Raw genomic sequence first — 20,406 nt, 5'->3', positions numbered from 1 at the left:
CTTCTGGGGTAGCTGGGAACTAGGCCAGGGTTCACCTGGGCGCCCCTGAAACCCAGCCGCCGGTAGACGAGCCCACCAGAGCGCATGCGCCGGGGGTACGCCGGGGCCGGACACGCCCAACTCTTCTTGTCTGATAAAGGGCGGAGTCTGCTACAGCCCCGCCCCCAGTGAAGGTGCGCGCGTGGCGGAGGCTGGTTTTCCGTCTGGTGAGGGGTTACTTCCGGGTCGGACGGCGCTAGCTGCAGCATCGGAGTGTGGCAGTGCTGGGCTGGCCGGCGGGCTGGGCTGCGGCCCGCGCGCGGCCGGCGATGCAGGGGGGCAACTCCGGGGTCCGCAAGCGCGAAGAGGAGGGCGACGGGGCTGGGGCTGTGGCTGCGCCGCCGGCCATCGACTTTCCCGCCGAGGGCCCGGACCCCGAATATGACGGTGAGGGATCGGATCGCGGCGTCGCCGCTCTGCTCTCTCTGTCCACCTGCGTTTCTGGGCGGCAAAGGCAGCCCTGAGGTTTGCCTGAGGACCTGGGCGACTTTGGCTGCCTCCAGGGTTGAACCGGCGGCCCAGCCGCGCAGTGCGAGGGGGGGCGGCGGGCGGGCCGTCGGGTAAGGTAAATATTTATTGAAAAGAACGTCTGCCTCTCCCTCCTTTGTTTACATTTCTGTTCCTTGGTTTCCTCTCTGGGGACTGAGGCCTTCGGATGGCTGGGGACATCCCCGAGGCCACCGTCTTGCCCCCATGCCCTGGGTTTTGTCATTGGTTGAGAACGATCTTCTTTCATTACTGCAAGGAGACTTTGCAAACTATACGCTGAATAGTTTGGGTTAAGAGTTGTAATTTGTAGCTCTTCTTGTCTTTTGCTTCATTGGAGCTTTTCTTGTCTTTTGCTTCATTGGAAGGAGAACTAAAGATTTCTTATAGTGAGGCAGCGTGGAAATAAATAAACGTCTTTGGTTTAATAAAAAGGCCCAAGTTTTTTTTTGAAGACAGGCTTGCTGTGTCACCCAGGCTGGAGTGCAGTGGCACAATCATAGCTCATTGCAGCCTCCAACTCCTGGGCTCAAGTGATCCTCCAGCCTTAGCCTCCCGAGTAGCTGGGACCACAGGTGCACACCACTGTGCCCAGCTAATTTTTTAATTTTTTTTTTTTTGCAGAGATGTGGTCTTGCTGTGTTTCCCAGGCTGGTCTCGAACGCCTGGCCTCAAGCGATTCTCCCGCCTCGGCCTTCCAAAATGCTGGGATTATAGATGTGAGCCACCACTCTCAGCCCCCAAGTTTTCTTGAGGCTTTTGTTTACTAGGAGATACGGGGTAGCTAAGTTACTTAGCATAGAGTAAGAGATGCTTAAAACATTGACTCTAACTAGGTGAAAGAGTCCACAATTTTGATGAAAGTGAAATAGAGTCTTTAGTTGCTGCCAGGTGTTTTAGCAATATTAAAAATTAAATTGTGCTATTAAGAATGAATACATTGGCCCAGTGGGGTCACGCCTGTAATCCAGCACTTTGGAAGGCTGAGGTGGGCGGATCACCTGAGGTCAGGAGTTCAACACCAGCCTGGTCATCATGGTGAAACCCCCTCTCTACTAAAAATACAAATTAGCTGGGCGTGGTGGCGGTCGCCTGTAATCCCAGCTACTTTCGAGGCTGAGGCAGGAGAATCGCTTGCTTGAACCCAGGAGGCAGAGGTTGAAGTGAGCCGAGATCGCACCACTGTACTCCAGCCTGGGAGACAGAGGAAAAACAACAACAACAACAACAACATTGATTCAGGTTTTTTTTTTCTTTTTTTTTTTTTTATGGAATGCTTCAGGAATTTGTGTTTCATTCTTGTGCGGGAGCTGTGCTAATCTCTGTGTCGTTCCAGTTTTTAGTATATGTGCTGCTGAAGTGAGCACGATTCAGGGAGATTTTAACTATATGGTAATTCCAATAGAATGACTGCAGAGAATACACTTTGATTTGAAGCATGAAACAAAAAAATGTGTTGCAATTGATTTAAAGCTACAAGTTATTCCTGTAAGAGAAAGCATATGAGAAAAAATAAAGGTGCAAACCGAGTTGAAATGGTTTTGATTGATTCAAATGGAATTAATACATGGAAATGTTGTTGCATTTTTATCCTTAATACTACCTATAATTTTTTTTTTTCTTAAAGAGATGGGGTCGTCCGGGAGGCAGAGGTTGCAGTGAGCTGAGATCGTGCCACTGCACTCCAGCCTGGGCAACAGAGTGAGACTCTGTCTCAAAAAAAAAAAAAAAAAAAAAAAAGAGATGGGGTCTCCTTTTGTTGCCCAGTCTGGTCTCAAACTCCTGGGTTCAACGGATCCTCCTGCCTCAGCTTCCCAAAGTGCTAGGATTGTAGGCGTGAGCCACTGTGCCCAGCCAAGCCTATGATTTTTGACCAGAAAGAGAAACAAAAGCAGAGTGTGGTAGTAATTCCAGTAGGCTATTAACAGAAGAAAATTTTAAAAAACTATTTTTTAATGGACAAATAACTTTTTCCCCACATATAAGGTGGTATATTATAGCTCAGTAATATAGAAAGTGTTATGTCATAGGAAAAGTCCCTGCTGTAAACATGCAAGTGTGTCTTTTCTGTAACATTGTGATAAGGGTTTCTGCAAACTAAAGATAATTTTTGAAGGGAGTGATCTTAGATAAGCTTTTAAAATTTTTCTTTTCCTGGGTTACCGAGAATACTGTTGTGCTGACATATGGCCTTTTCTTCCAAAGAGGCCCAGAATGTCCAGACAGAGTTTATATATATATATATATATATATTTTTTTTTTTTTTTTCCCTTGAGATGGAGTCTCCCTCTGTTGCCCAGGCTGGAGTGCAGTCGCGCGATCTCGGCTCACTGCAACCTCCGCCCCTCCAGGTTTAAGCAGTTCTCTGCCTCAGCCACCGGAGTAGCTGGGATTACAGGCGTCTGCCACCACACCCAGCTAATTTCTTGTATTTTTGGTAGAGACGGGGTTTCACCATCTTGGCCAGGCTGGTCTTGAACTCCTGACCTTGTGATACAGCTGCCTCGGCCTCCCAAAGTGCTGGGATTATAGGCGTGAGCCACCGTACCCGGCCTTTTTTTTTTTTTTTTTTTTGAGACTGAGTCTCACACCGTTGCCCGGGCTGGAGTGCAATGGCTGGATCTCGGCTCACTGCAACCTCCACCTCCTGGGTTCAAGCAATTCTCCTGCCTCAGCCTCCTGAGTAGCTGGGATCACAGGTGCACACCACCACGCTCACCTAATTTTTGTATTTTTAGTAGAGACGGTGTTTCACCGTGTTGGCCAGGCTGGTCCTGAGCTCCTGACCTCAGGTGATCTGCTTGCCTCGGCCTCTCTAAGTGCTGGAATTACAGATGTGAGCCACCACACCCAGCTAGTTTTTTTTTTTTTTTTTTTTTTTTTTGAGACAGAGTTTCACTTTGTTGCCCAGGCTGGAGTGCAATGGCACGATCTCAGCTCATCTCAACCTCTGCCTCCTGGGTTTAAGGGATTCTCCTGCCTCAGCCTCCTGAGTGGCTAGGATTGATTACAGGCATGCGCCACCACGCCTGGCTAATTTTGTTTTTTCGTAGAGACAGGGTTTCTCCATGTTGGCCAGGCTGGTCTCGAACTCCTGACCTTAGGTGATCTGCCTGCCTCGGCCTCTCAAAGTGCTGGGATTACAGGCATGAGCCACTGTGCCCAGCTAGGTTTTTTTTTTTTTTTTTTTACCTGTTTAGTCATGTCTTAAATAAACAGTAAGTGAGAACTTAACGACCTTCAGCCTTAGTGCCAACTCGTCTGTCTGCATGGTCTCATACAGTGCAAAGAGGATGGGGTTCGGGAGTCAGTCTGATCTGCCTTGTTCACTGGTTCCTCAGCCTCTCTGAGATCAGTGTTTTCATCTGTAAAATGAGGATGAACACTTACCTTATATTATTTTTTGAGCATTGAAGGAGATTGTACATGTAGATAAGTAGCACACGCTCATCGAGAAAAGTTTCCATTTTTCCTATCTTTCCCTCTGTCATCTGCCCAACTTCTTTTTTTTTTTTTTTTTTTTTGAGACGGAGTTTCGCTCTTGTTGCCAAGGCTGGAATGCAATGGTTGATCTCGGCTCACCGCAACTTCTGCCTCCCAGGTTCAAGCTATTTTCCTGCCTCAGCCTCCTGAGTAGCTGGGATTACAGGCGCCTGCCACCACTGCCCGGCTAATTTTGTATTTTTAGTAGAGATGGTGTTGCTCCATGTTGGTCAGGCTGGTCTCAAACTCCTGACCTCAGGTGATCCACTGGCCTCAGCCTCCCAAAGTGCTGGGATTACAGGCATGAACAACCGCGCCCGGCCATCCTCTGCCTAACTTCTTTCTTTATGCCTGGGTCTTGGCTGTCTTCTCAAAGGAAGGAAGCCATCCTAGTCCCACTTCCTTGCGTATTGATTTATTTGTACTATTGGACACATCAGAAAACTGTTTCTCCTCTGTCTCACGGCATCTTTCTGCTGATCCTCCAGCTTCCAGGATTCAGCTCCAAATTCACTTCCAGAAAGCCTTTCTTGATTAACCCAACTCAGCATAACTATTCTTTTGGTTTTTATCTGCTTACATTTAAATATTTCATGTTTCATTAATTAGAATATACGGTTTTGTCATTATGAGACAGGTTTACCATTAATTTAAAAATATTTTCCTTTTTAATTTTTAGAATCTGATGTTCCAGCAGAAATCCAGGTGTTAAAAGAACCCCTACAACAGCCAACCTTCCCTTTTGCAGTTGCAAACCAACTCTTGCTGGTTTCTTTGCTGGAGCACTTGAGCCACGTGCATGAACCAAACCCACTTCGTTCAAGACAGGTGTTTAAGCGTAAGTAAGAATAAATGAATCTTGCTAAATAAAGCTTGTAAAGGCTGGGCTCCGTGGTTCATGCCTGTAATCCCAGCACTTTGGGAGGCTGAGGTGGGCGGATCACCCGAGGTCCGGAGATCGAGATCGGTTTGGCTAACATGACGAAACCCCCTCTTTACTCAAAATATGGAAATTAGCCGGGTGTTGTGGCAGGCACCTGTAACCCCAGCTACTCGGGAGGCTGAGGCGGAGAATCAGTTGAACTGGGGAGGTGGAGGTTGCAGTGAGCCGAGATAGCGCCACTGCACTCCAGCCTGGGTGAAAGAGTGAGACTGTCTCAAAAATAAATAAATAAAGCTTGTAAAAATACTGTGTTGCTGTTCTCACTTATTCATGGGAGGTAAAAATTAAAACAATTGAACTAATGGAGATAGAGTAGAATGATGGTTCCCAGAGGCTGGGAGGATAGTGGAGGATGGTTAATGGGTACAAAAATATAGTTAGAATAAATTGGATCTAGTATTTGATAGCACAGCAGAGTGACTACAGTCAACAATAATTTATTGTACATTTAAAAAATAATAAAAAAGATGGCCAGGTGCAGTGGCTCATGCCTGTAATCCCAGCACTTTGGGAGGCCAAGGTGGGTGAATCACTTGAGGTCAGGAGTTTGAGACCAGCCTGACCAACATGGTGAAATCCCATCTCTATTAAAAAAAAAATGCAAAACTACCCAGGCGTAATGGCACATGGCTGTAATCTCAGCTACTTGGGAGGCTGAGGTAGGAGAATTGCTTGAACCCGGGTGGCGGAGGTTGCAGTGAGCCGAGATCACGCCACTGCACTCCAGCCTGGGCAACAAGAGCTAAAGTCCATCTCAAAAAAAAAAAAAAAAAGAATGGGCTGGGCGCGGTGGCTCACGCCTGTAATCCCAGCACTTTGGGAGACTGAGGCAGGTGGATCATGAGGTCAAGAGATCGAGACCATCCTGGCTAACATGGTGAAACCCTGTCTCTACTAAAAATACAAAAATTAGCTGGGCATGGTGGCGGGCACCTGTAATCCCAGCTGTAATTTGGGAGGCTGAGGCTGGAAAATCATTTGAACCTGGGAGGCGGAGGTTGCAGTGAGCTGAGATCGCGCCATTGCACACCAGCCTGGCGACAGAGCAAGACTCAGTCTCAACAAAATAAAAATAACGAAAAGAATATAATTGGATTGTTTGTAACACAAAGAAGGGATAAATGCTTTAGATGATGGATACCCCATTTATCCTGATGTGATTATTACACATCACATGTCTGTATCAAAATATCTCATGTACCCCCATAAATATATACATCTACCATATACTCACAAAAATTAAAAATACAAAATAAAAATATGTTGTTTAATGCTGTGAGTCTGGAAAGCGTCTGGTATACAAAAATTGGAGTGAAATAAATATTAATGATTTCCCTACTTCAATTCAGCTTACATTTTTCTTTGAGTAATTCCTTACAAATATAACTGTGGATCCCATAATTGCATAAAATTGAATAAATGAAATATAGTTCTTTTGCATCTATACTATGATAATGCTCACAATTTTTTTTTTTCTCGAGATGGAGTCTCACTCTGTTGCCCAGGCTGGAGTGCATTGGCGCGATTTCCGCTCACTGCAATCTCCGCCCCCCGGGTTCAAGTGATTCTCCTGCCTCACCCTCCCGAGTAGCTGGGGTAGGCACGTGCCACCATGCCCGGGTAATTTTTGTATTTTTAATAGAGACGGGGTTTCACCATGTTGTTCAGGCTGGTCTCGAACTCCTGACCTGGTGATCCACCCGCCTCGGCCTTCAGTGTGCTTTGATCACTCCTGTGAGTAACCAGTGTGCTCCAGTCTGGGTGACATAGTAAGACTCTGCCTCTAGAGAAAAAAAAAAAAAAGAATAGTTCCAGCCAGAGATTCTGAGGTTCTTTTTTTTTTTTTTTTTTTTTTTACCAAAACAGTCTCAAACTTATAGATACTTTTATGTGGTCTTAAAACTGAATGCGTTTTTAGTTAAAGATACATTATCATTTTGATAAACTTGATGGGACATGAAAAATGGTACAAATATCTGTACATTGTACACCTACTGCTTCTTGAATAAAGCAAATAATACACTCTGCATTCCAAGCAGTGGCATATGTGGTGGGAGGTGGGGTGAACAGAAGGAAGTGTATTCCTTAGGTTCTGAAGCATTGGTGACTGGGAATTATTGTATTAGTCTCATCAAATAGAGAAGCAGATTAGAAAAATACAGTAATCTTGTACATGATTAAAGCAATCCTGTGAATTTTACTGATTTTAAGATAATTTTGAATTCCTTATATACAGCCTCTTTAGATGACTTTTTTTTTTTTTTTTTTTGATAAGGAGTCTTGCTCTGTCGCCCAGGCTGGAGTGCGGTAGTGCGATCTCGGCTCACTGCAACCTCCACCTTCTGGGTTCAAGCGATTCTCTTGCCTCAGCCTCCCAAGTAGCTGGGACTACAGGCACCCACCACCACGCCCGGCTGATTTTTTGTATTTTTAGTAGAGACGGAGTTTCACTGTGTTAGCCAGGATGATCTCGATCTCGTGACCTCATGATCCACTGGCCTTGGCCTCCCAAAGTGCTGGGATTACAGGTGTGAGCCACCATGCCCAGTCTAGATGACTGAAGTTTAAAACAAGGTTATTTAAATAAATGTTTTTGATGTAATCAGTGAGTTGATAATCTAAATGGAGAGTTTTCTATTTCTTTTTTCTTTTTTTTTAGCAACAAATGTGGCTTTCATAACTGTAGAGTTTTTGATGCAGAAAGAATATCCTTGGTGGGGCACGGTGGCTCACGCCTGTAATCCTAGCACTTTGGGAGGCTGAGGTGGGCGGGTCACGAGGTCAGGTGTTCGAGACCAGCCTGGCCAACATGGTGAAACCCCATCTCTACTAAAAATACAAAAATTAGCCAGGTATGTTGGCGGGTGCCTGTAATCCCAGCTACTTGGGAGGGTGAGGCATGAGAATCCCTAGAATCCAGGAGGCGGAGGTTGCAGTGATCTGAGATCGCTCCACTGCCCTCCAATTTGGGCAACAGGGTGAGACTCTGTCTCAAAAAAAAATTAGCCAGGCGTGGTGGTGTGCACCTGTAATCCCAGCTACTCAGGCGACTGAGGCAGGAAAATCGCATGAACCCTGGAGATGGAGGTTGCAGTGAGCCGAGATCGTGCCATTGCACTCCAGCCTGGGCGACAGAGTGAGAGTCTGTCTCAAAAAAAAAAAAAAAAGAAAGAAAAAAAAATGTCCTCATTGGTATCTGTATTTGTTGAATGAGTAGGAGCCAAGGCACCTTTGTGGAAACTTACTTTTTCTAAGGAGCTTGATATTTGGTTTACACACGTGTACCATGGGCTCTTTGTATGTTGGTTAAAGGTATTTCGTGACGATGAATGGTCACTTTTGTTGTAAGTTCTCATCATATGTTTGCCCTCCTGCTCTTATTCTTCTCTTACTGCCTAACAGCAAAGGGTAATGTGTGGAATGTCAGAAGAGTTTGTTTACTCTTTTTTTTGTTTGCCCTTTTTTTAGAAATGGCTTAGTACTTTACTGACTAGTCTTGGTAAACAAGTGACTGTACAGGGTAAGAGAAGTAATTATAGGCCGGGTGCAGTGGCTCATGCCTGTAATCCCAGCACTTAGGGAGGCCAAGGTGGGTGGATCACGAGGTCAGGAGATCGAGACCATCCTGGCTAACACAGTGAAACCCCTTCTCTACTAAATATACAAAAAAATTAGCTGGGCCTGGTGGCAGGCGCCTATAGTCGCAGCTACTCAGGAGGCTGAGGCAGGAGAATGGCATGAACCCGGGAGGCAGAGCTTGCAGTGAGCCGAGATCGCGCCAGTGCACTCTAGCCTGCGTGACAGAGTGAGACTCCATCTCAAAAAAAAAAAAAAAAAAGAGAAGTAATTATAGTTGTGCTTTTCATGAATGAGTGTACTAGTTGTTCCTTCTCTTTTAGAGAATCATTCCCCAAGTTTCTTCGCTTTTTAAAAAAATTTATCTAAGGGCTGGGCCTGGTGGCTCATGCCTGTAATCCTAGCACTTTGGGAGGTGGAGTTGGGCAGATCACTTGAGGCCAGGAGTTCGAGACCAGCCTGGCCAATGTGGCGAAACCCCGTCTTTACTAAAAATAGAAAAATTAGCTGGGCATGGTGGCACACGCCTGTAATCCCAGCTACTTGGGAGGTTGAGGCAGAAGAATCACTTGAACCCGGGAGGTGGAGGTTACAGTGAGCCAAGATAGTTGTCACTGCACTCTCTGTCTCAAAAAAAAATTTCTTTTACGTTATTCTAGAGAACATTCTCCAAGTTTAACGTGTTTATAAATATAGTATTTTTCCTATTGAGGTTTTTGTATATATTGCTATTATTACACGTTATTCTCTGTGTACACTTTAAAATTGCCATTTTATTAAAGATGTTTCTAATAATAGTTTTTCATATTCTTTTTATAGTACTTTGCCAGACGTTTATCAAAATGGGGCTGCTGTCTTCTTTCACTTGTAGTGACGAGTTTAGCTCATTGAGACTACATCACAACAGAGCTATTACTCACTTAATGAGGTCTGCTAAAGAGAGAGTTCGTCAGGTAAGCCCTAAAAAATATACTTTGGGTATGACAAAAATATACTTTAATTTTAAGATAATTATATTTTAAAGCACTGTGAAATTCTGATTATAAAACAAGTTTTTAAAAGTATAAACTCTAGGCCAGGCATGGTGGTGTGGCTCATGCCTTAATCCCAGCACTTTGGGAGGCTGAGATGGATCATTTGAGGCCAGGAGTTCAAGGCTGCAGTGAGCCATGGTTGTGCCACTGCACTCCAGCCTGAGCAGCAGAGTGAGAACCTGCCTGAAAAAAAAAAAAAAAAAGAGAGGAGAGGCAAAGGAGAGGCCACAGATGGACTGGGATCTTGAGACAATTTCAATTTATTTTTGTTTTGTTTTGTTTCGTTTTGAGACAGAGTCTCGCACTGTCATCTGGGCTGGAGTGCAGTGGCGCAATCTTGGCTCATTGCAACCTCTGCCTCCCAGATTCAAGGGATTCTCCTGCCTTAGCCTCCCAAGTAGCTGGGACCACAGGCACCTGCCACCACACCCAACTAATTTTTTGTATTTTCAGTAGAGACAGAGTTTCTTCATGTTGGCCAGGCTGGTCTCGAACTCCTGACCTCGTGATGTGCCTGCCTTGGCCTCCCAAGTGCTGGGATTACAGGCGTGAGCCACCGCGCCCTACCTAATTTATGGTTTTTAGTAAGATGGGAGGTGGTACAGGATTTTGATTAGAGGAGTGACACAATCTGACTTACATTTTAGTGGGGTCACACTGGCTGCTGTGTTGCGAATGGACTGAGGGGGCACGGGCAGAAGCAGGGTGCCAGGTGCCACCATACACGCGAGAGAGGTGGGCAGGCAGGAGGGGTGGGGAGCTCCTGCATGGATTTTGAAGGTGACGTCAGTCTTGTCTGCTTGCTGGTCTGTTCTCAGCTTTGAAGTATTTTCAGTTGTAAACTCTTAAGTAATACTGAAAAAGCCAGTGGTTTTTAAAATATTGTTTATGCATTTGGGGTTGTTAATGTGATATTGAATTTTGATAGGTTCTTTATTCCATGCAAGTTTTCAAAATGCTTTTTAAAAACAATTTTTTAATTGTAGGATCCTTGTGAGGATATTTCTCGTATCCAGAAAATCAGGTATGTGTGAAAAACTTTCTTGATTATGCAGACTATTGAAAAGAAATCAAAATTAAGAAAATACTGATTTGAGGTTAAAACATAATATTGTTAGTATTATTTATGAACATTAAAAACTTTGTTCTCAGCAATTAAGTACTGCTCTGAGACTTGCTTTGCTTCTTATTCCCTCCTCTTTGATCCCCTGCCTCTCGCCACTGAGTGTGGATTCCATGGTCACACTGTTAATTCAGATTCCTGATACCCAGGCTCTGTTAGGGGGACCATTGAATTCTCGCTAGTTTAAATACTAGTTTAAAATCTAACTGGTCTGACCTAAATATTCATCAGCCCATGAATAGATAAGCATGTGGTCTATCCCTGCAATAAAGTGTTATTCAGCTATTAAAAGGAATGAAGTACGGATTCATGCTACAATATGGATGAATCTTGAAAACATCCTAAGTAAAAACAGCCAGTCATAAAAGGCCACATATTGTGTGATTTCATTTCTATGAAATATCCAGAGTAGGTGAATCCATAGAGACGTAAATAGTGGTTTTCAGGGAGTGGGGTAAGGGAAGGATGGGGAGTGAAAGCTAATGGATATAGGGTTTATTTTGGGGGTGATGAAAATATTCTGAAATTAGGTAGCAGTGATGGTTGCACAACTTTATGTACTAAAAACCACTGAATTGTACATTTGAGAGAGGTGAATTTGACAGTATGTGAATTATATCTTGATAAAGCACTCTACATTAAAATAAAAATCTAATTGGTCTACATCATTAAGAAATTTAAGAAGCTGCTTATGGTGGTGCATACCCAGTCCCAGCTACTTGGGAGGCTGAGGCAAGACGACTGCTTGAGCCCAGGAGTCCTGGGCTGTAGTGCACTATGCCAGTCTGGTGTCCACATTAAGTCTGGCATCAGTATGGTGACCTTGATCTCCCAGGAGCAAGGGACCACCAGGTTGCCTAAGGAGGAGTGAACTAGCCCAGGTTGGAAACAGAGCAGGTCAGTACTCTGGTGCTGCTCAGTAGCAGGATCACACCTGTGAATAGCCACTGCAATCTAGCCTGGGCAACACAGCAAGACCCTGTCTTAGAAGAAAAATAAATAAAAAAGAAATTTCAGTAATTTTTTTTTTTTTTTGAGACAGAGTCTTGCTCTGTCACCCAGGCTGGAGTGCAGTGGCATAATCTCGGCTCACTGCAATCTCTGCCTCCTGGGTTCAAGCAATTCTCCTGCATCAGCCTCCGGAGTAGCTGGGATTACAGGCACCCGCCACCACACCCGGCTAATTTTTGAATTATTACTAGAGACGGGGTTTTACCATGTTGGCCAGGCTGGTCTTGAACTCCTGACCTCATGATCTGCCCTCCTCGGCCTCCCAAAGTGCTGGGATTACAGGCGTGAGCCACCATGCCCAGCTGAAATTTCAGTAAATTTATTTCTGAGCTTAGCTAACCAACTGCTGGCTGTTAGTGATTCTTAGGATTTCTGCTGTACAACATCGGTAATAATTTCTACTTGGAATACCCGTTACTGGTAAAACACCTGATTTTGTTTTCTTCATAGGGATGAAAAATTTCATTTTAGCCCATCCTTTCCAAATCAGCACAGCTTAGTGATACATGAGGTTTGTGAGGTTAGTAATCCTGTGAGCATGAGGTATCCTAGAACATTTTGATTCTCTCATGTTTTAATATTGATTGTTTGTATTTAACTTTCAGATCAAGGGAAGTAGCCTTGGAAGCACAAACTTCACGTTACTTAAATGAATTTGAAGAACTTGCCATCTTAGGAAAAGGTGGATACGGAAGAGTATACAAGGTTGTCTTCCACGTACTTGTTTTGACCTACTACCCTAAATAATTGTGTTTTCAGATATTGTTTTCATTATTCTTTTATTTATTTATTTTTTTGAGATGGAGTCTCGCTCTGTCGCCAGGCTGGAGTGCGCGGCGCAATCTCAGCTCACTGCAACCTCTGACTCCCTGGTTCAAGCGATTCTTCTGCCTCAGCCTCCCGAGTAGCTGGGATTACAGGCATGTGCTACTACACCCAGCTAATTTTTGTATTTTTAATAGAGACGGGGTTTCACCGTGTTGGCCAGGATGGTCTTGATCTCCTGACCTCGTGATCCACCCACCTCGGCCTTCCAAAGTGCTGGCATTACAGGCATAAGCCACCGTGCTCGGCCTGTTTTCATTATTATTATATAATGTACTCAAAGGAAAATTCCAAGAAATCTTGTATATTTACTTTTCTTTAACATTTGTCATGTACAGGGAAGTGGGCAGTTTGTAATGTTTTTCTAACCGTGTTGATTGTTTACATGGATTTTGGAAACTTTGAATTTTTGACCTATAGTTAATTTTAATTAAAAAATGTGTTACCAAAAAAAGTTGTACTACTGTGTTTTGAGCTAACATACACCTTTTGCTAACATTCCCGTTCTTCAGCCTAGAGCTTCTTAGGAGCTAGACTTCCAACACTATCTGAAAAGCTCTTAGTCCGGCTGACTTCCCTGAACATAGTAAGGAGACATGTCTTTAGCTATATTTTACCTCTTTGGCTAGTTTGGATTGTCTAAGCTCAGATTAAAAGAACCTCTTTATTCAGTTAAAGTTTAATGACACAATATACTTTGTCTTTTTTTCTACTTTTCAGGTCAGGAATAAATTAGATGGTCAGTATTATGCAATAAAAAAAATCCTGATTAAGGGTGCAACTAAAACAGTTTGCATGAAGGTATGATTTTTAAAAATTACTTATTTTGAATAATTGTGTATTTAGTTCTTTTTGAAAGAGTTATACATGTATATGTGTATATTTGGCAAAAGTAGGCGGTGTGGATTTCCAGTTTACTAGGAATGGGGTTATAGTAAAGTACCAAAATTAAATTATTATTATTTTTTGTTTTGAGATGGAGTTTCACTCTTTTGGCCAGGTTGGAGTAAAGTGGCGTGATCTCGGCTCACTGCAGCCTCCGCCCCGCAGGGTTCAAGGATTCTCCTTCCTCCCAAGTAGCTGGGATTACAGGCATCTGCCACCATGCCTGGCTAATTTATATATATATATATATATAATTTTTAAAATATGTTAACTTCTTAAAATAAATGATCGATATATAATATAGCTAGTTATGAAAAAACAGGAGCCCAGTTCCAGGTCAGTCTTCTCCCTGACATGCTGTGTGGTTCTGGACGAGTTGTCCAGTCCTCTGAGCCACTTCTGTCACCTGCCCTGAAATAGTAGTGACGGTAGTGATTTTACTTACCTTGGAGGACTGGGGTAGGAATCAAAAGAGAGAATGGTGATAAGTGTGCCATAAAAAGTATAAAATGCCCTATAAATATGTTATTTAGTTGCTATAACAATTGCCATTTGTTTCTTAAAAATATTTCCATTATATTGGCCAGGTGCAGTGGCTCACGCCTGTAATCCCAGCACTTTGGGAGGCGAAGGCAGGCAGATCACTTGAGGCCAGGAGTGTGAGACCAGCCTGGCCAACATAGCACAACCCTGTCTCTACTAAAAACACAAAAATTAGCTGGGTGTGGTAGTGCATGCTTGTAATCCCAGCTGCTCGGGAGGCTGAGGCACAGGAATGACTTGAACCCAGCAAAGTGATTGCAGTGAGCCAAGATGGCATCACTTCACTCCAGCCTGGGCAACAGAGTGAGACTCTGTCTCAAAAAAAAAAAAAAAATTTCTATTATTTTAACATAGTGTAGATGCCTTGTACAGAGGAGTTTTCATTACAGATGGTCCTCCATCTTATGATGGGATTATGTCCTGATAAACCCATCATAAATTGAAAATATTGTAAATTGGAGATGCATTTTAATATGCATAACCTACCGAACATTATAGCTTACCCTGCCTACCTTAAATGTGCTTCGAACACTTACATTACTCAATAGTTGGACAGAATCATCTAGCACAAAGCATATTTTATAATAAAATACCATATATCTCATGCACCGCATACTGCAAGCTGGAGAAAAGATCAAAATTCAAAGTATGTCAAAAATTGTGATGTCTTCATACCATTGTAAGTCAGGGGCCATCTGTATTTTGCTCTGGAACAAGAAGTATTGCATAAACATTTAACAAGTTATCAGCAAAAGGCAGATCTACTTCCATTTCTTTTCTAGGTCCTACGGGAAGTGAAGGTGCTGGCAGGTCTTCAGCACCCCAATATTGTTGGCTATCACACCGCGTGGATAGAACATGTTCATGTGATTCAGCCACGAGGTAAGCCGTTTTTGATGGTATGGTAGTTGAAGCGTTGGCAAACTTTAGCCCGTGCACCAAATCTGGCCTGCCTTTGTTTTTGTACATACCACAAGCTGAGAATGGTTTTTACATATTTTTTTTTGAGACGGAGTCTCACTCTGTCGCCCAGGCTGCTCCGCCTCCTGGGTTCACACCATTCTTCTGCCTCAGCCTCCTGAGTAGCTGGGGCTACAGGTGCCCGCCACCACGGCCAGCTAACTTTTTTTTTTGGTATTTTTTAGTAGAGACAGGGTTTCACCGTGTTAGCCAGGATGGTCTCGATCTCCTGACCTCGTGATTCGCCCGCCTCGGCCTCCCAAAGTGCTGAGATTACAGGCATGAGCCACCGCGCCTGGTTGGTTTTTACATTTTTAAATAGTTAAACAAAATCAGAAGATTTTGTGAAAATTATGTGAAATTATTTTTTTCTTTTCTTTTTTTTGAGACAGAGTCTCGCTCTGTCACCCAGGCTGGAGTGTAGTGGCGCGATCTTTGCTCACTGCAACCTCTGCCTCCTGGGCTTAAGTGATTCTTCTGCCTCAGCCTCCCGAGTAGCTGGGATTACAGGTGTGTGCCGCCACGCCTGGCTAATTTTTGTATTTTTAGTACAGACAGGGTTTCACCATGTTGCCCAAGCTAGTCTTGAACTCCTGACCTCAAGTGATCCACCTGCCTCGGCCTCCCAGAGTGCTGGGACTATAGGCATGAGCCTCTGTGCCTGGCCCAAAATTTAAATATCAATAAATAAAATTTATTAGAACACAGGCTCTTCATTTATATATTGTCTATGGCTGCTTTTTAAATTTAAAGTTAGCTGGGGGCAGTGTGGCTCATGGCTGTAATCCCAACACTTTGGGAGGCCGAGGCAGGAGGATCACAAGGTCAGGAGTTCGAGACCAGCCTGGCCAATATGGTGAAACCCCATCTCTAATAAAAATACAAAAATGAGGTGGGCATGGTGGTGAGCACCTGTAGTCCCGGCTACTCGGGAGGCTGAGGCAGCAGAATCACTTGAACCCGGGAGGTGGAGGTTGCAGTGAGCCAAGATCGTGCCAATGCATTCCACCCTGGGCAACAGAGCGAGACTGCCTCAAAAAAAAAATTACATTAAATTTTGTTTTAAAAATAGAGATGAGGAATCTCACTATATTGTGCATGCTGTTCTTAAACACCTGAGCTCAAGTGATCCTCGAGCCTCGGCCTCCCAAAGAGTTGGGATTACAGGCATGAGCCACTGGGCCTATGGCTGCTTTTATACCATAACAGAATTGTTCAGTTACAGCAGAGTCCCAGAGGGCCCTAAAACCTAAAATATTTACTGTCAAGTCCTCTGTGCTGTTTGCTGACCCCTCGTATAGTTGCATGGCTTTGTTTTTACGGTTCCTAACACGTGCCATTTGAATAAACTTTTTGTATTTTGCCAGAAGGTCATGACATTTTTAGACTTGTAGTCTCATTTGACACTATTTGTATATTTTAACTCTGTCTTTGACTACAATTTGAAAAACTGGGCTGTTTGAAGATGATTGTTGTTTGTTTTCATTCAGCAGACAGAGCTGCCATTGAGTTGCCATCTCTGGAAGTGCTCTCCGACCAGGAAGAGGACAGGTATGTCCTTTTACATATTAGGACATTACCTCTTGTCACCTGCATTGGGCTTTTGTTCTTTTTTTTGGCGACAGAGTCTCGCTCTGTCACCCAGACTAGAGTGCAGTGGCACAATCTTGGCTCACTGCAACCTCCGCCTCCTGTGTTGCAGTGATTCTCCTGCCTCAGCTTCCCGAATAGCTGGGACTATAGGTGCCCGCCACCACACCCAGCTAGTTTTTTGTATTTTTAGTAGAGACGGGGTTTCACCGTGTTAGCCAGGGTGGTCTCGATCTCCTGGCCTCGTGATGTGCCCACCTCGGCCTCCCAAAGTGCTGGGATTACAGGCGTGAGCCACTGCACCTGGCCTGCACTGGGCTATCTTTGTCTTTTGCTACAAGGAGCTCAGGAGGAGTGTTTTAGACTTTGCTTATTTCCGTTACAAAATGTTAAATTATTTCTTCCTTTCAGATATTTCCTGTCGGTATTTTTTTTTTTTTTTTGAGATGGAGTCTCGCTCTGTCGCCCAGGTTGGAGTGCAGTGATGTGATCTCAGCTCACTGCAACCTCTGCCTCCCAGGTTTAAGCGATCCTCCTGACTTAGCCTCCCTAGAAGCTGGGATTATAGGCCTGCACCACCATGCCTGGCTAATTTTTGTATTTTTAGCAGAGACGGGGTTTTGCCATGTTGGCCAGGCTGGTCTCAAACTCCTGAACTCAGGTGATCTGCCTGCCTTGGCCTCCCAAAGTGCTGGGATTACAGTTGTGAGCCACTGCACCTGGCCTATTTTTTATTATTTTTGTTGAGACAGGATCTTGCTCTTTTGTCCAGGCTGGAGTGCAGTGGTATGATCACAGCTCATTGCAGCCTCCAACTCCTGGACTCAGGCAATCCTCCCACCTTAGCTGCCTGAGTAGCTGGGACTACAAGCTTGCGCCACCATGTCTGGCTAATTTTTGTATTTTTTGTAGAGATGGGGTTTTGCCATGCTGTTCAGGCTAGTGTTGAACTCCTGGGCTCAAGCAATCCTCCCGCCTTGGTTTACCAAAGTGTTGGGATTATAGGCATGAGCCATTGTGCCAGACCTATACATTGGCTTTTTTTTTTTTTTTTAGATGGAGTCTCACTCTGTTGGCCAGGGTGGAGTGCAGTGGCGCAATCTTGGCTTACTGTAACCTCTTCCTCCCGGGTTCAAGCGATTCTCCTGCCTCAGCCTCCTAAGTAGCTGGGACTATAGGCGCATGCCACCACACCCGGCCAATTTTTGTATTTTTTAGTAGAGATGGCGTTTCACCATATTGGCCAGGCTGGTCTCGAACTTCTGACCTTGTGATCTGTCTGCCTTGGCCTCCCAAAATGCTGGGATTACAGGCATGAGCCACTGCACCCGGCCGACTTTTTTTTTTCTTGGAGACGGAGTCTCACTCACTTTGTCGCCCAGGCTGGAGTACAGTGGCATGATCTCAGCTCACTATAACCTCCATCTCCTGGGTTCGAGTCATTTTCCTGCCTCATCCTCCCCAGTAGCTGCGATTACAGGCGTATGCCACCATACCCGTCTAATTTTTGTGTTTTTAGTTGAGATGGGGTTTTACCATGTTGGGTAAGCTGGTCTCCAACTCCTGACCTTAAGTGATCTGCCCGCCTCAGCCTCCCAAAGTGCTGGGATTACAGGCATGAGCCACTGTGCTCGGCCCATTGACTTTTATGTTTACTATTTTTTTTTTTTTCAGAGAGCAATGTGGTGTTAAAAATGATGAAAGTAGCAGCTCATCCATTATCTTTGCTGAGCCCACCCCAGAAAAAGAAAAACGCTTTGGAGAATCTGACACTGAAAATCAGAATAACAAGTCGGTGAAGTACACCACCAATTTAGTCATAAGAGAATCTGGTGAACTTGAGTCGACCCTGGAGCTCCAGGAAAATGGCTTGGCTGGTTTGTCTGCCAGTTCAATTGTGGAACAGCAGCTGCCACTCAGGCGTAATTCCCACCTAGAGGAGAGTTTCACATCCACCGAAGAATCTTCCGAAGAAAATGTCAACTTTTTGGGTCAGACAGAGGTAGATTACTTTCCCAGACCCTCCTAATTTGGCCAGTATTGGTGACTGTGCAGGTGTGTGGCCTTCTCTCGCCCTCTCTCAGCTCTGGCGCTTCTGCCCTGCGTTCAGTCTCTTGTACTGGCCATGTTCCCCTTGCCATGGGGCCTTTGCGTTTGGTTCTCCCTTCTTCACTTAGTTAACTCCTCCACGTCCTTTTCTGGCCTCCCCGACCTGGCCATTTACAGCTTCAGATCATCTTGAGTGTGTACCCTAGAGTTGGCGGCCTCACTCACACTCTGTTTGTGTTGTATGTTAGCATCATGCTATAAAGATATATTTATGCAAAACGATTTTGCAGCATGACTTTAGGTGAGTCCCAGTAGGATTAGCAGCTCAGTATTCGGGATATTCTTTTTAATTTTAAAATTGGTTTTATGTTAGTTGTAGTTTTCAGGAGGCTCTTGTTGAGGGTCATACTGATACAACCCTCCTTCCATGGCCACGCTGCCACCATGCTTTCCCCAGTATTTTAAGTAGTAATATTAAAAACATGAACATTAGGCCGGGTGTGGTGGCTCACGCCTGTAATCCCGGCAGTTTGGGAGGCCAAGGAGGGCAGATCACCTGAGATCAGGAGTTCGAGACCAGCCTGGCCAACATGGTGAAAGCGCGTCTCTACTAAAAATACAAAAATTAGCCAGGCGCGATGCTGTGCGCCTGTAATCCCAGCTACTCAGGAGGCTGAGGCAGGAGAATCGCTTGAACCCGGGAGGCACCGTACTCCAGCCTGGGCAACTAGAGGAAGACTGTTTCAAAAAAAATAAAAAAATAAAACTAAAAACATGAAAATTGTCAGGGTCTACACATAATCTGTCTTGTTAAGATTATAAAACTGTATATACCATCTACAAAGACACAGCACAGAATTAATTCTTGTCACGGAATATGTGTTTCTGAGCCTGTGTTTTTTTTCTTGAGACAAAGTTTTGCTCTTGTCACCCAGGCTGGAGTACAGTGGCATGATCTCGGCTCACTGAAACCTCTGCCTCCTGGATTCAAGCGATTCTCCTGCCTCAGCCTCCCGAGTAGCTGGAATTACAGGCGCCCACCACCACGCCCAGCTAATTTTTTTGTATTTTTAGTAGAGACAGGGCTTCACCATGTTGGCCAGGCTGGTATCAAAGTCCTGACCTCAGGTGATCCACCTGCCTCGGCCTCCCAAAGTGCTGGGATTACAGGCATGAGCCACTGCATCCTACCAAGCCTGTGCTTTTTTTTTTTTTTTTTTTTTGGAGATGGAGTCTTGCTCTGTCACCCAGGCTGGAGTGCAATGGTGCCATCTCAGCTCACTGCAACCTCCGCCTCCCAGGTTCAAGCGATTCTCCTGCCTCAGCCTCCTGAGTAGTGGGATTACAGGCACGCGCCACTACGCCTGGCTGATTTTTTTGTATTTTTAGTAGAGACGAGGTTTCATCATGTTGTTCAGGCTGGTCTTGAACTCCTGACCTCGTGATCCACCTGCCTTGGCCTTCCAAGATGCTGGGATTACAGGTGTGAGCCACCACGCCTGGCTAAGCCTGTGCTTTTTTATGAAACTTAGAACTTTGAACTCTTTCGCCTGAATCTGGATGACTTGAGTTTGGGGGACTTTTAATCAGAATCATTTCATTTCTCTGTATTTTATTTGGAAAATTTTCTTAGATGCCTAAATCAGATGGTATATACAGTGGGCTACAGTAAGCTTAGTGTTTGCTTAACTTTTTATTGAATAAGTTATTAGTTATGTACAACGTGAAGCCAGACAAAGTATATATACTTTGTAGAAATATATAGAGTAGTAGAATATCATACAGCCATTCTTTGATGCTTTCTCTTAGCTTTAAAAACTGTTTATGTAGCGAGCAGACCAGTTTCAGGACCAGTTTCT

General features: G+C 44.4%; 1 protein-coding gene and 2 pseudogenes across 3 annotated transcripts in view, besides 2 other annotated features; 2 read left to right on the top strand and 1 right to left on the bottom strand.

Moving 5' to 3' along the window:
* Positions 217 to 20,406, top strand: part of EIF2AK1 (eukaryotic translation initiation factor 2 alpha kinase 1) — a 36,929-nt gene continuing 16,739 nt past the window's right edge. Inside the window, exons 1-9 of one of the 3 annotated variants that reach the window (NM_001134335.2) lie at positions 217 to 426; positions 4,688 to 4,846; positions 9,347 to 9,480; positions 10,548 to 10,585; positions 12,301 to 12,400; positions 13,241 to 13,321; positions 14,731 to 14,830; positions 16,402 to 16,459; positions 18,173 to 18,500. In NM_001134335.2, the coding sequence (NP_001127807.1) occupies positions 309 to 426; positions 4,688 to 4,846; positions 9,347 to 9,480; positions 10,548 to 10,585; positions 12,301 to 12,400; positions 13,241 to 13,321; positions 14,731 to 14,830; positions 16,402 to 16,459; positions 18,173 to 18,500 (1,116 nt within the window). In that variant the 5' untranslated portion in view covers positions 217 to 308. Of the gene's footprint in view, positions 427 to 4,687; positions 4,847 to 9,346; positions 9,481 to 10,547; positions 10,586 to 12,300; positions 12,401 to 13,037; positions 13,107 to 13,240; positions 13,322 to 14,730; positions 14,831 to 16,398; positions 16,460 to 18,172; positions 18,501 to 20,406 lie in introns of those variants that run through there. The other 2 variants (NM_014413.4, XM_047420200.1) reach the window with 2 other exon arrangements.
* Positions 221 to 420: a silencer, noted in NCBI's record as "silent region_17933". NCBI's record gives its function as "represses an Ori minimal core promoter by ATAC-STARR-seq in GM12878 lymphoblastoid cells {active_cell/tissue: GM12878}" and the evidence as "EXISTENCE:reporter gene assay evidence [ECO:0000049][PMID:35858748]".
* Positions 491 to 560: a silencer, noted in NCBI's record as "silent region_17932". NCBI's record gives its function as "represses an Ori minimal core promoter by ATAC-STARR-seq in GM12878 lymphoblastoid cells {active_cell/tissue: GM12878}" and the evidence as "EXISTENCE:reporter gene assay evidence [ECO:0000049][PMID:35858748]".
* Positions 1,788 to 1,892, bottom strand: RNU6-218P (RNA, U6 small nuclear 218, pseudogene; annotated as a pseudogene).
* Positions 11,369 to 11,671, top strand: RN7SL851P (RNA, 7SL, cytoplasmic 851, pseudogene; annotated as a pseudogene).

The sequence above is a fragment of the Homo sapiens genome, chromosome 7 (genome assembly GCF_000001405.40).
Source record: "Homo sapiens chromosome 7, GRCh38.p14 Primary Assembly".
Lineage (NCBI taxonomy): Eukaryota > Metazoa > Chordata > Mammalia > Primates > Hominidae > Homo > Homo sapiens.
The sequence above is the reverse complement of the archived record's forward strand: the minus strand, read 5'-3'. Positions and strand labels throughout refer to the sequence as shown.